We start from the raw sequence: 15,915 nt of genomic DNA, 5'->3' as shown, positions 1-15,915 counted from the left end.
CTAAGAATTCATACAATTCAAAGCGAAAACACTGTAAGGTTGTTTAGGTTAATAAATTATAATTTCTGCCATCTGATGAGAAAGCCCTTATGTGGACTTCAAAGTTTCAGGGAAGAGTGAAGGCAGTCAATTTCCCCAAAGCCTGGCAAAAGTCACAGACAAAATTAAAGCCTATGAGCAAAAGGCTCCTCAAGAATACTCCAGATTAAGCTAACATTGTCAACCACCACAGAGGGCAAAGACAAAATCTATATTGTCTACCTTTGTATTCCTCGAGCCCAGCACATAGTAGGCACTCATTTAGAGAATGAACACACATCTCCATATGTCCACAAGCTCAAAATGTATAAGTGAAAACCTATGAATTTCTCAAAATAATAATCTATAGATAAGAAAGTTAAACACACACACACACACAAACCCTTGACAGGAGATTTTGCTTCAAGTTTAGGTATTTATCATAGAATATATTCACTTACAACATAACTTTTTATATAACTGACATTTCTCAAGTTCTATTTAATAGAATGGAAATTCACTATGTTTAAAGAACACTTAACCAAATCTACACTTATCTACTTTAGGATTAATACTGGCTCTAAAAAGTAAACTAGTACTATGGTTGGTTTGATTAACTGGTTAGGTAATCATGAGAGCTGATGGTCATAATTATGGGATTGAATCCTTTTAAGAAGAAATATCAATCCTCAAAGGAATCAATCCCATAATGACTTTTTCCCTCCATAACTTAACAATGCAATCCTACACTCCAGCCAGCTAGAGAGCTACCAGACAGTGCTCGTGCGAGCCACTATTCACATGGGTCCAGCCACGGGATATGGAGGATTTGGCATAAATCTATCATCAACCCTTTACTTATGGCAAGTCAATTCTGTCATCTCCAAATGTGAAGAACAATTTTTTAAACTGCCAATAGTGAAAACCAGAGAATGCTTCCCTAGTATAGGTAGCTTGAATGCAATCTAAATATGTATTAATTTTTTTGTGTGTATTATAATGTACTACTGGACTATATGGAACTCTCAGAAAGACACATGCTATTGAATAGTAAGCATTACTAAGAAATTTATGAATGATTAAAATAAAAAAATCAATATCGATTAAGACTATTTTTCCATGTCAAGCTTCAAACCTGACAAAAGGGATGGCAGGATTAAGATAACTATTAACCTCCGAAAGACACAGGACCAAATAAAACACTGTAGAATGACCACAAAAAATGTTTCTCTAATTAGAAGTGTAACTAAACCAAGAAATAAAACAATCTGCTTTCCATGTCACCAATTATTTTCATCTGTTCAACTTCCCAGTTGCTCCTTAATGTGCAATCCACATCTCAAAACATCTTTTTCCTGCTCTTGCTGTTCTGTTCACCTTGGAAAGGTACAATTCTAGCATGTATCATCTTCAAAATTTGGTTTAGAGGGCTTGTATTCTGTTTACAGTCAACATACATACAAACAAGCCTATTGATCTTCAACATACCTTCAGTCAATAAAAGCATACTTCATCCTGAATGTGGGTACTTTGTAATCACTATGTATGAGGAAAATGAGAATGCACCACCTATCAGTATCATATATGAAAAATTCAAAGAATGGATGGATGATCTCTGACTTTAAAACAATAAATGGTACAGTCATGATTTCAGAATCTAATGTTATTCTTAAATGTAATTCACTAGTGAAACACCATGTTCTAAAGGGCATTTATAGCATTACAGCAAATAACATTAAGTAGATTCACAATATTCAATATCTAATTGATGTATAATTATTGCTAAGACTACCCTGCCTTTTTTATCAGGTATGTTTATAATCGTGTCCATCACAATTTTAGATTGTATTGGAACAGCTACTCATAGAAATTTCTTCAGTGCTCACACAAATGGAAGACTTATAAAAACGCACATAAATGTTCTGCATTGGAACAGTAAGAAGCTATAACTTGAATGCGTTCAGACCTGTAGCAGGCTGTTGCTGCTGTGTAAGTGTTGCAGCCATGGCAACGGCTGCTGCGTTTGGCATGGTGCTGAAAGGAGTGGGTCCAGTAGTAACTCTGGGTGTGTTCTGCCACTTCTTGGCTTCTGCTCGCCTTGTTTCAAACACATCAACAGCATCTCCCAAGAACATTTTCCTGTAGCCAAGGTACTGTTCTTTCAGAACCTAAAAGAATAATAAACAAAACGGCTAAATGAAGTTTCACATTGACTATGGTTAATATGTGGATGAATATAACCATAAATTACCAAAGACAGTCCCAATATTATACATTCAATCCAAACTGCAAATTAGAGTGCTAATAATGCACTTTGGTGTAGGAAATGATGAGTTCAAGAGTTCTACTGCTCCCTTGAATAGTTTACTCCCTATCTTTACAATATGCTTCCTAAAATACTGTCTTTGTGAGGCCTTGTTTAAAATAAATCAGCTAAGCTTTTAGACAGAGTAATATTTAAATACTCCATCAATGTGCAGATGGATGGATGAAAAGAATTTAAAAATAAATATTCCAGTTTTTCAAGAAACTTTCCCCTCAAATGTCCAACCTTTTCATAGCCTTTTGATTAAAACAGTTTAAAAAAAAAAGAAAGAAAAAAAAGTCAGCACTAAATATACATACTTTTAAATACATTTTTTAGAAGGCCTGGGTAACACATGCTAAAATAAGGTGTTGCACCTCAGCAGTGGTTGGAGGGTATGATGAGGGCTTCTACTTTATTGCTATTATTTGACCATTGTACAATGAGACTTGATTCATGTTAAAGTTATGAACCCAACCACCCGCCTCAAAGAAAAAAAGTGTTTGTAACTCCAGAGTAAGAAAAATTCCCAAGTTCATAAAGTGAGCTGCTTTTACCCAATGCAGCATCTGCTTTGATTAAGGCCATCAACAGCAACAATTCTGTTTCACTTTAGAATTATTTTATGCTTTCATTGAAGATTTAGCCTAATTTAGATAGGTTTTTAACCACTTTTTGAAGAGACACAGATTTTTCATATTTCTTACATTTCTTAGCAGAAATTAGTAAACATTAGGTTCTGATTATAACAAATACAGCACTTAAAAATCTTACTGTTGTTTATAGTATTTAAAAGCTATCATCGCCCTTTTTGTGTGGATGTCAGTGTTTGATGTTCCAATTCCAAACTTTGCTACATTTATGATGTATTAAAAAAGGGGGCCTGCCAAGAACTGGATACTGGGGAAGATACAAAGCCAGAATCAAGACATATGATGTAAGAAAAACAAGCACTACCGATCTCTTGCAAATCCACCCTTCCTTGTCCTGGGCAAGCATCAGTATCCCATAAATTTTAGTTCTACTTCAGATAATGGAAAATAATGATCCACCTTAGAAACTTAAGACCAAGACCATTAGTTAAAAGAAACAGCCTGGCCGCGGTGGCTCCCACCTATAATCCCAGCCCTTAGGGAGGTCTAGGCAGGAGGACTCCTTGAGGCCAGGAGTTAAGATCAGCCTGGACAACACAGCAAGTGCCCCTCTCTACAAAAAGTTAAAAAATTAGCTAGGTGTGGTGGTGCATGCCTGTAGTCCTAGCTACTCAAGAGGCTGAGCCTGAGGCGGGAGGATCGCTTGGGCCCAGGAGATTGAGGCTGCAATGAGTCATGATTACGCCACTGCACTCTAGCATAGGCAACAGAGCAAGCCCTTCTCAACAAAACAAAACAAAATAATAAAACAAACAAACAAAAACCTTGACATCAGCCATGATTTATAAAACAAATTGCTAAAACTTCCAAATGTGTTAATGTTCCTGAGGCCTGGCTGGATAGAATAGTTAACGCCTGTTTCAACAGATTACCTAATGAAAAACAAAACGAACAAAAAAATGTCTTGTGAGATTTCTACAAGAAATAAAGAAACCTAGAGCTTAGTTTGCTCACTAAACTAAGCTAAAAATAATGGCAACATACCAAATCTGATTATAAAATATTCTTTGGTTCTTGGGAATATCCTTTCGTTCCTGGGTTGCTTAAAGAGTAGGTCAAAATTTCATGTCTACAACGTTTATTTGACGTGATCTAGGGCAGTTTTATGTGGTCTTGGTCTCACTGTTTTATGGTCATATTACCAAAAATGATATATTTTCCAAACCAGAGAGGAGACAGTGCTGCTAAAAAAAATGTACGTTTACACCTGGCATTTGCTCTGAAATACTTCGTGGGGGGAAAAAAAGCATCTTCTGTGGAGCATTGATAAAACAAGTTCAGCAGGGTTTTGATAATGGTTGCAATTAGGTAGTCATACCTGGGCATTCAGTATAATGATAGCCTACTTTTGTGTATATTTGAAAGATTTCATAATAAAAATTAAGGAAAAGAATTCTGTGCAACGGACTTCAAAGTGCCATACATTAATTTTATTAAAAAATTAAAGTAACATTTATTATAGACTAATAGAATTTTTTTAAATCTGATAAAATTCCTCCTTTAGAACAAAATTTAAAGATTTGGGTTACAGTTTTAAATCTACTAAAGCAAAAGGTCTAAAGTGCACTACCATTTCAAAAATGGTGTAATTTAAATGGTTTACTTAAAAAAATCCTGTTACTATGCATGAAATCAAAATAAAAATGAAAATGTTGATAATTCCAATTAAACTCTATTCTACACAGTTGATAATTTATCTAGACTCAGGTTTCGCTGCTTGAATTTTAAAGGTATTTTGGACCACATACACTCCAAGATTAAAGAGTTTAATTACATTTGCTCAGTTAGTTAGAAAAGATGTACTTACCTTGAACATTTCACTTAAATACATTTTTAAAACTAACGTTATTATGAGAGTCAAAATATTCAGGCTGGGTGCAGTGGCTCATGCCCATAAATCCTAGCACTTTGGGAGGCCGAGGAGGGAGGATTGCCTGAATTTAGTAGTTCGAGACCAGCCTGTGCAACATGGCAAAACCCTGTCTCTACTAAAAATACAAAAAATTAGCCAGGCATGGTGGCACGTGCCTGTAGTCCCAGCTATTCAGGAGGCTGAGGCATGAGAATCACTTGAACCCAGGAGGTGGAGGTTGCAGTGAACCAAGATCATGCCACTGAACTCCAGCCTGGGCGACAGAGCAAGAGTCTGTCTCAAAAAAAAAAAAAAAAAAGCGAGAGTCAGTCTAAATATTCAGTGATAAATCATTTTATTTACACTATTTAATAAACACAAACAGTTCCCTGTATTTAAAAGGGAGAAATGCTGTAAGCCGGTTTTTAATGCAGTGGCCAATAAACACTTAAAACAGATAAAATTAAGGTAGTACAAAATCATTTGCTACTAAGAATGCTTATTTTCTTTTTTTTTGAGATGGAATCTTGCTCTGTTGCCCAGGCTGGAGTGCAGTGGTGTGATCTCGGCTCACTGCAACCTCCACCTCCTGGGTTCAAGCGATTCTCCTGCCTCAGCCTCCCAGGTAGCTGGGACTACAAGTGCCCGCCACCATACCCGGCTAATTTTTGTAATTTTAGTAGAGACGGGGTTTCACCATATTGGCCAGGCTGGTCTTGAACTCCTGACTTTGTGATTCGCCCGCCTCGGCCTCCCAAAGTGCTGGGATTACAGGTGTAAGCCACTGTGCCTGACTAAGAATGCCTATTTTCTATAGTGCTATTTATAGTAGTAAAGAAATAGAAACCACCTAAATATCCAACAGAAAATGGGTTAAACAATGTACAACCATACAACAAACTCCTATGTTAACTATTAAAAATGATATTCAGGAAATATGTGTATTAACATAGAAAGTTATTCACAATGCACTGCTTAAAAAAAAGTTATAATAACAGACTACAGCGTACTTGGATCTTTTTTAAAAGAACAGGTATTATCAATCGTTATGTCTGGGTATGTTATGGATTATAGTAGTTTTCATCTTTTCACTTATATGTAATTTTAGCTATTTCTGTATCAAGCATGGACACATTTGTCCCCAGATGAACAAATACTTGGGTCTACATATCCAGGTAGATAAATGGGTAATGAAAACTTACCTTTACATTTTCATGAATAGACTGAAGTTGTGCCGCTAAAGCTACAAATGTTTGATAAATTTTCTGCATAGCCATTGACAAATCTATAAAAGAAAATTACATTATCACCCAAATATATACATATATATAGCACAATCCATTTTATTTTTCTATTTGAGTCCAATTTTTGGCACAGTTAACGTGTAGGAGAAAAAAACTCTATCAACGTTCTCATGGCCAGAGAACACACAGAGTAGCAGACTGAATGTCTACAAAAGAAATCTGGGGGGAAGGCCCTAAGATTTCTGTCCTTGTTACCACAGTAACAATTCATATAATAAAGCATATTATATTTATAGGGAATAAAGGAGTAGTAAATGACTTTTAAGGAAATTTTCTTAAAGGGGCTACCAGTAGTTATCCAAAATACCTATTATATAACCACATCTATCTCCTACAAACAAAAGTTCAAAAAAAATTACCACAGTAAGCATGTTACCTTGAGGGGTTATATGTGAATTATTTGCTTGAGTGGCAAGATGGTTTTCTAGTTCTTCAATCTGCTGCCTGTACTGCTGAAGCTGTACCTCAAATTGCTGAACCAAGATTCTGAAGTAGCTTTAAAAAACATTTAAAAAGTCAGATCAAATATTTTTTTAATTTGGAGTGACAAATCCAAATTAAGGAATATTCTGCAATCATTTAATAGTCTTCAAAAGTATCAAGGTTATCCAAGGAAAGGAAGGACTGAATAACTGTGACTGGAAGATATTAAGGAGAAATTACAAATGCACTGTGAATCCCAAATAGGATGCTGAAACAGAAGTACACTAGTGGAAAAACTGGTTGAATTTCAGTAAGTTTAGTAGTTTAGTTAATAATATTGTAACAATTTTAGTTTCCTGTTCTTGGTAATTATACTATAGTTATAAGTTAACATTAGGGGAAGCAAGGGAAGCGATATAAATAAATTCTCTGTACTACTATTTTGGAAGTTTTCTGTAAGGTTAAAATAAATTTAAAATAAAGTAGAAACGTCTACCAACCAGATTTCAGAATTAAGAATTTATAGTCATTTTATCAATGAAATTTATAATCTGAGAACACCATAGTATACTACAGAAAGCACATGTAATTATTGCTACTTTTCTAATAAATTTACCCACAGAGAGTGCTAGACAGATAAAAAAAAAAAAAGAAGGTATCTTGAATAGTATACAGAGGAATCTGAATGTCTTTCAGTAAACAATGGGCAACCATGAATGCATTTTGCAAAATTAGCTCTGATGGCAGTATTAAGTACAAGACAGAGGGATAAAATAGTAGAGGAAGTCCAGTGAGGAAGCACATCTCATGCCAACCTGAGTAAGACGAATATCATGGGCATTATGAATTTCCTGATTTTGAGAACTGTTAAGTATGAGAATATCCTTATTTTTAAGAAATATCCACTGAAGTACTTTAGCATAGTGAACATTATTTCTGCAAATAACCCAAACTGTTTGGGGGAGAAATGTATATACACACATAGAATGTGAGGAACAAAAATATGGTAAAAATGTTAATATGTAGGAAATTGGAATGAAAGGCATACAGGAATTTTTAGTTCTCATCTTGAAACTTTTCTGTAGACCAAAATTATAATAAAAAACTAAAAGAATAAAATAAGTAAGGGGCCAGGCGTGGTGGCTCACATCTGTAATCCCAGCACTTTAGGAGTCTGAGGCGGGAGAATCACTTTAGCCTAGGACCAGCCTAGGCAACACTGTGAAATGGCATCTCTACAAGTTAATTAATTAATTGTGAGGGACCAGGAATCAAACAGACCTCCACCACTCAACTCACTTTTGCATACCTCAGTCTCTTTATCGCTAAAACTGGAATAACAACAGCTACAGAGATCTTGTGAAATATGAAGGTAAAGCATGTATAGTCCTAAGCACACTGCATGGGAAATAGTAAGCATTTGGTAAACATCAGTTATTATTATCTTCATCAACATGGAAGGACATAAACAGGCAAGATATATTTTACATGTATGAAAGCCAAATGTATATATACAAGCTGAGTGATGTGATTACAGGTTGGTTTTTTCTTCTACTTATGTATATTTTCTAATTTTTCTTCCAGAACACGTATTACCTATTTAAATGAATAATGGTAATTTTCCATTACCAGTAAAATTTAATAAAATGGAGTAGACTCTGTAAGTAATATGTACATGAAGTATAAATGCGTAATAGTGGTGAAAAGCTCAGATCTTAGCCTTCACTTACCCTGCAGTCAAATGGTGTTAATGGAGATAAACCTTTTTAGGGTTATTATGAAATTTAAAATCCATGTAAAGTGCTTATTGGCTCAGCCTTTCCACATAGTATACTAAAAATATTTAGTTTGTATACTATTATTACTGTTCTGCTTTCTGAAAGTGAGAAACATTTGTTTTTAAAAATCCAGCAACTTACTCAGCAGGAGCTGCATATTCATGTTGAAGTCCAGGTGGTGTCTTCTGGGTTCTTAAAGCTATTTCAGCATTCTTCAACTCCTAATATACCAGAGGATTTAAAAAAAAAAAAAAAAGCCAGTTAAGAGTTATGTTAAAAATACCGTACGAAAAAAAATATTCAGTCTCTGGACTGAAACTTCAAACAATACCTTGGAGGTTCATGCTATAAGAACATATTATGGATGAAGCTGCTTCACAAGTTGCTAAAACCTTTCAAGAGCAGACAAATTACAGTTTTAACAAACTTATAAAGAGCTGTAGATCTATTTTTAAAACTATAGATTTCTGTAGGATTCACGAAGTGAATTCATTTACAGCGTAAAGATTATACTACTACTTAAAATCATTAATATAAACGCAGAAAATACTTTTTTTTTTTAAAAGGCAGGTGGCAATAATAATGTTGAGGCTGAGGCAGGCACAATTAACATTTGGGTGCTTGCTATGTACCAAACACTATGCTAAAAGTTACTTCTCAAGGACAACATTACAATGTAGGGAATGTTTCTCTTTTTATAGATGAAGAAATGGATTTACAAAGCCATTAAGTAACTTGCCCAATATCATGCTGCTAGAAGACCGAAGAACTGGATCTTTTAAAGCTTACACACTCAACCATTCTTATATTGCTTTCTACAATTCCAGCCAATGTTTTTTCAAGATTAGTATTGTTTACCCCCTTACATTCCACATTCCTATCATTTCACTATATTTTCGACCTCTATTTAAGTATTCTTTATTTCACAAAGAGTTACTTTAACTTTATATTCCCTGTAGCAACATCTCTTCCTCATTAAACTGCCAAGCTGCTAAGCTGATGACTGTTTTTTCTACATCCTTTTCACTCAACTCAGGCTTCCATCCCACCCCACTCCAGTACAAATACATGTGTAGATGATTCAAGACTCTGACCCCTGCTACCTCTCTAAGCACTGACTCTAGCCAGGCCCAGACTCTCCTAACACTAAACTGCTTGTAGATCTTCAGACATGCCCATACCCTCGTTCATGATACTTTCCTCTTTTTCAAGACTCAATGTAAAGGTATTCTACACTGGACAGATGATAAAAATGCCCACTTGAGGCCTCTGTGCCCCTACAAAACCCTTGTACCTGGATCATATCACCTGATGGATTTAACTCTCTCCCTAGTCTAAGTCTTGATCCCTAATGCCTGCTGAAGCACCTGGCACATAACAGATCTTTTAAAAATGTTAGTTGAATGACTGGAGAGCTGAACTCAGTAATTTAACTTCAATAAACCATGCGGCCCCCACTTACCCCAAAAGAACCACCATCCTATTTTAATTTAAACTCAAGTTACTTATTAAAAATGAAGTATATAAAAGACTTTGTCTTCCATAAGAATCTGGTCTGCATCAGTTCTAACTGCAGAACTGCTTATATTTCCCAGAAAGGCTTTCTTTGAAGAAAAGGTTTTAGGGTTAAATAAGATTGATACTTTATAGAGGATTCAGAACATTTTTTTCAATTGGTAATTCACTAGACTCTTAGTAGAGTATTAGTTCCTAGCTACTAGACATTAGAGTAATCTTAGATCAAATTTCTTTAAAAATGTTTATTTTTTTTTCTCTTTTTCTTCTTCCCCTTTGACCTGGTGAGCATGAAATAAAAATCTTTTTTTTTTTAATTTAATTTTATTTTTTAAGTTCCAGGGTAGATGTGCAGGTTTGTTACATAGGTAAACGTGTGCCATGGTGGTCTGCTGCACCTATCAACTCATCGCCTAGGTATTAAGCCCAGCATGCATTAACTATAAAATTCCTGAAATTCAGCTCAGATGATTCTTCCTTAAGGAAACTTTGACTCCCAACCTCTTATTCCTTTGCCACCTTTATGCTCTTCTCAATCTTTTATTATTTCATTCACCCTACTAGACTTTTAGTACCTTTGGAGTTGTCTTTTTATCTCTAAAAGACTATTAATGTGCCCATTATATGACAGCTACTCCACAAACAGCGGTGAATGCAATCATTCAGTTTTCGAGTTAAAATGGGTCCCATTACAGCATTCACTTCTTTCTTTCGAGTTTGCCTCCTCCATTATTTTGCTCTAATTATGTTTTCTAAATAACTTATATATAATTTCAAATATTTCACATAATTTCATGTGATGTTTAATCACAGTCTAAACATTCTCCAGTATAAAAACATAATTAACTCTTTCTATTCCCTAGAAAGGACATAGGTGATGATTAGGAAGAGTAAGTGGAAAGGAAACATGGGGCAATACAGGTTGAGTATCCCATATTCAAAAAGCTTGGGACCAGAAGTGTTTTGGATTTCAGAATTTTTCTGATTCTGGAATATCTGCATACATAAAATCAGGCACCTTGGGAATAGGGGATAGAACCCAAATTTAAACACAAAATTCATTTGTGTTTCTTATACACATAGCCTGAAAGTAACTGTATACAATTTTAATAATTTTGTACATGAAATGAAGTTTTAACTGTAACCTATCCCATGAGTTCAGGTGTGGAATTTTCCACCTGTGGCATCATGTTAGCACTCAAAAAGTTTTGGATTTTGCAACATTTCAGATTTTGGATTAGGGATGCTCAACCTGTATTACATTCATATTTAACCAAATAAATGTGTTAAGAGACCAGGAAGTCTGAGGACAGACAATAAAGTCTTTGAAATTCCTTTAGCCATTACAGTTTAGAGTAGCTCTTTTAGTAACACATCATTATTAAAAAGATTACAAGATATTCTCCAATAGTGGACTTAAAGACCCAAAAGCACCTTTAAAAATTTTACTTAAAATACTACCACTTCGTTTGTGAAGATCACAGCCCTCTGATAAATCCACAGCAAAAAGGCGTATCTCACATGAAGTTCATTAACAGATCAGGGACAACTTCACGGAAAGATTTCTAGACTGCTATGATGAGATCAAGTATATTCTGTAATTACGGTAACTACAACACAAATAAATCACCTATCGTCATCCTTTCCCACTGAGGTAGAAAAGAACGACATATATTTAATATGTATTGTATATTACACCATAAGGAGGAAAAACAAGTAGACATTAGTGACAGACAACATTAGCCACATTACTATTTATTTTTATTTGTATTTTTTTGAGACGGAGTTTTGCTCTTGTTGCCCAGGCTGGAGTACAATGGTGCAATCTTGGCTCACTGCAACCTCCGCCTCCCAGGTTCAAGCGATTCTCCTGCCTCAGCCTCCGGAATAGCTGGGATTATAGGCATGCACCACCACGCCTGGCTAATTATTGTATTTTTAGTAGAGACGGGATTTCAGCATGTTGGTCAGACTGGTCTCGAACTCCTGACATCAAGTGATTTACCTGCCCTGGCTTCCAAAAGTGCTGGGATTATAGGATTGGGCCACTAGGGCCGGCCTACTATTTTTAAACTAAGATTTAACCACGACTTGCAAGTCATCAAATTTAATATCCACACAGCATGATATAATTTTTATTTAAAAACCGACAGTTAAAAAACATTATTTTCTGACTAGCTATGTTTCCTCTTATATAATAGGCCAATTTAGCCAGCAACCACACTTACGAAACCTAGTTAGTTAACAGCATAAACTCTGGAGTTGGATTACCAGGGTCTGAATCCAGGCCCTTCAACTTACTAACAAAGCTCTGTGCTTTTTTTCTTATTTATATAATGGGGATAATAATTCCTACCTTGTTGGGTCTTTTCAGAAATACTTAATGCTTTTAACAGATATAAATTGCTTAGGATACTGTCTTGTATACAGAAAACGCTTAATAAAAACTCATTATTAAAGTATATGAGTTATCTGGTTTTCTACCGGTATGCATGTATCAAATTTCATAATTAAAAACAAACAAAACAAAACACCTTATTTCCATTTTGGAAAAAACAAAACAAAAAAACCCTACGGTAAAATGGCCATAAGTTGGTATACCTGAGCAGTTTCTATTTTCAATTTGTCAATGTTGAGAGTGTTTCTCTGTATTCCATTGGCAGCCAACGACAGGAGCTGCTTCAGAGCTTTAATATCTTCTTGTACCTTAAGCATTGCTTTTGAAGACATTCTACTAATTTCTTCTTGAACTTGTTTCTGCTCCTTCACAAATTTCCTAAAAAATATATTTAAAACTGAGTTTTAAAAAATGTATCTTTGGTTTCCTACACAAAATATATATATACTTAAAACAGTCCAAGTGTTTTAAAATACAAAACTAAAAATTCATCTATAGTTCACACTTTTTTACAGAATGGAAGTTATACAATTTTAATTCCTGTTGTTCTGCTTTTTTTCTGATTTCTAAAAGCACTAACATTTTAACCCTAGTTAAGAGATGCTCCTCTAGGATGCGATTTTAGGAGGAAGAGATGCTCCCCTTAAGAAGTATTCTAGAATTCTTCAAGTGTTATTTATCTAATTATATTTGACACTTACTGGAGATTTTCAACATCCTGGCAGATGACAGGAGGTAGATTTTCATCCTTCAGAGCTTTACTATCCCTAAGAAAAATGCAAAACATGTATTAAGGTCATTGAGATTTTAAAAAGTTGACAGCTGAGTTTTAATAGAGTATTAGAGTATTAAGACACAAGAAAATATAGCAAAAAAGCACGTATGGCTTCTCTGGATGATTTCAAAGCTCTTTATAAAAAACATAAATTTATTGTAAATAGGATCTATAAAATAATTTTAACAATTCATCTGACATGAAGATTTCTTATCTAAGAAGATTGGCATCTATTAAAAACATACTTAAAAGCATATGACTAAATGTCTAACAAAAAAATCAGAGAATACTGCAAATTGGGTAAGATGTTAAACTAAGTTCCCTCTGGCTTAAAGATTCTGACTGACAATTTATTCCATTCCAAAATATTAATGTATTCATTAAAGAAAGTCTACAAAACTTCTCACAACGAGATGCTCAAAATACTTTTGAAAAATAACTTCAGTTAGTTCTTCAACATGCATTAGAATGAAAAAATAAGACCTAGGCAGAGCTTACAGGAATAATAAATATTTAATGAGAACAAGAACAAGTGACATCTGGCATGCTGCAATGGAATCATGAGTTAGATTTCATAACCCTTATGCAGATCTTAGTTTCTCTAATCTTCTTCATTTAAATAGTAAGCTAAAATATACACAGGATGTTTGTAAGGAGTGAATTTGTCATTTATTTATGAATGCTTTATTTAATATAGTACAAATCATGTGAGAAAATATAATTGGTAATAAGAAGAATGACCATCTTCAAACATATATATGATGTATATGGAGGCTATTCTCTTCACTGAAAACACCAGGACATAAAACGAGACTGGCACAATAATTCATATATTTTTTAAATGCTCCAAAAGTAAAGTTCCATGAGTTGTTCAATATTTAACAGACTAAAGAAATAAACACACATATTTGTATTTATTTATATTAGAGAAATACCAAACACCTTTCCAGAAATAGTTTTAAATTTTCTTAATGACTAAAAACTAAAGATTTGACCTTTCATTATCTTACCAGAACATACGTCTATTATTTTACTTTTAACGAATACCATTACAAAAAAGTTTTTTCTCCTAAATGTATATGATATTTACTTTCAATTATACCATCTGCCTACAATTTAATAAGTTAAACTCTTCAATTAAAATGCCTTAAGGGTAAATTTGTAAACTTACTCTGGTCTTGTTCCCGTTTTATCACCTAGAAAATTCAAGAAGCTTCACGTAAAAAAAATTGGTAATTGAACAACATACTCCAAATACAAGCTTTAAATTAACACAAATTAAAGTATAAATATAAACTGTTAAGCATTTCTTTGCTTGCCTCATAAACATCATGTGATGTCATGACTCATCATGAACTCAGAAGCAAAGCATTTTATGAAGACATCTGTACACATAAGCAGATATATGGCAGATGTACATATACTTTCAAGGGCAAGAATTTCCCTTTCTCAACCCTCGTCATGAACTCAGAAGCAAAGCATTTTATGAAGACATCTGTACACATAAGCAGATATATGGCAGATGTACATATACTTTCAAGGGCAAGAATTTCCCTTTCTCAACCATCTTCCGTGAAAAATATCCTGTATGGAAAATTTATGTTGTTGCCTACCAGTTTAACTCCTGATAACTTTACCTGACACTTTTTAAGGCCCTATCAGTACAGAATACTGTCAGATTACCTGTACTTCTCCAATCTGACAATCCCTTAAAACAACTATCACAATTTATCTTCCCATCTGCCATGAATACCTTATCACACCCTCACAACAACGGACATATTTTATAAAAAACCTTGCCAGTTATGTAGGTGAAAAATGCCACTTCATAATAATTCTTAGTTTATATTTGGTGAAGAAAACCATTTTCTTCAAATGCTCATGAGACAAGTATATTTCTTCTTTCATGAACTGCTTACTTGTGATTTGCACACTTTTCTTACGGTATTTTTCTTATATATTTCTAAGAGCTATTTCAACATTAAGTATATTATTTGTCTCATTTACATAATTTAATATGTATTTCTAATATTAGACTCTTGTAAGATGTATCTCAATTTCAGAGATGTTAAAATGTGAAAAAATAAGCACCTAAAAATCAAGCATTTTGGGCAGACTGCTTGAACCCAGGAATTGGAGACCAGCCTGGGCAACAGGGCAAAACCCTGTGGCTACAAATTTTTTTTTTATTTCTGAGACGGAGTCTCACTCTAGTGCCCAGGCTGGAGTGCAGTGGCGTGATCTCAGCTCACTGCAACCTCTGCTGCCCAGGTTCAAGCAATTCTCCTGCCTCAGCTTCCCGAGTAGCTGGGATTACAGGTGCCTGCCACTGTGCCCGGCTAGCTTTTGCATTTTTAGTAGAGACGGGGTTTTACCATCTTGGCCAGGCTGGTCTTGATCTCCTGACCTCATGACCCACCTGCCCCGGCCTCCCAAAGTGCTGGGATTACAGGCGTGAGCCACTGCGCCTGGCCAAAAAATTTTTTAAAAATTAGCTAGGCGTGGTGCTGCGTACTTGTGGTCCCAGCTACTTAGGAGGTTAACGTAGGACAATCACTTGAGCCAGGGAGGTGGAGGTTGCAGTGAGGTAAGATCACACCACTGCATTCCAACCTGCATGACACAGCAAGTCACTGTATCCCAAAAAAAAAAAAAAAAAAAAATCAAGCATTTTACTTTCCTCATTTACCTTTTACCTCTGCACATGGGGTTTTACTTTTTTACCTCTTTCATCCAACTGTAATTTATGTTTCCATGTTTTGTATTTTATTAAGATTTTTTTCTTTCATATTTAGTATCTCTAAAATTGCCACCTATCTTCTATAGACGTCCTAGATTTTATGAGACATGGAAATAAAAATAAGGATTTCATTTTATGTTTCTCCAAATAATTC

General features: G+C 34.7%; 1 protein-coding gene across 9 annotated transcripts in view; it reads right to left on the bottom strand.

Moving 5' to 3' along the window:
• Positions 1 to 15,915, bottom strand: part of NUP58 (nucleoporin 58) — a 48,176-nt gene that overhangs the window by 16,258 nt on the left and 16,003 nt on the right. For all 9 annotated transcript variants that reach the window (NM_001411001.1, XM_047430805.1, XM_047430806.1 and 6 more), the window contains 7 exons: positions 14,193 to 14,217; positions 12,948 to 13,013; positions 12,450 to 12,624; positions 8,475 to 8,554; positions 6,509 to 6,627; positions 6,031 to 6,113; positions 1,985 to 2,186 (listed from right to left, as the gene is read on the bottom strand). In NM_001411001.1, the coding sequence (NP_001397930.1) occupies positions 1,985 to 2,186; positions 6,031 to 6,113; positions 6,509 to 6,627; positions 8,475 to 8,554; positions 12,450 to 12,624; positions 12,948 to 13,013; positions 14,193 to 14,217 (750 nt within the window). The remainder of the gene's footprint in view (positions 1 to 1,984; positions 2,187 to 6,030; positions 6,114 to 6,508; positions 6,628 to 8,474; positions 8,555 to 12,449; positions 12,625 to 12,947; positions 13,014 to 14,192; positions 14,218 to 15,915) is intronic.

This window comes from Homo sapiens, chromosome 13 (assembly GCF_000001405.40).
Source record: "Homo sapiens chromosome 13, GRCh38.p14 Primary Assembly".
In the NCBI taxonomy this organism is placed as follows: domain Eukaryota; kingdom Metazoa; phylum Chordata; class Mammalia; order Primates; family Hominidae; genus Homo; species Homo sapiens.
Note: the sequence above shows the minus strand (reverse complement) of the source record. Positions and strands in the feature narration are given on the sequence as shown.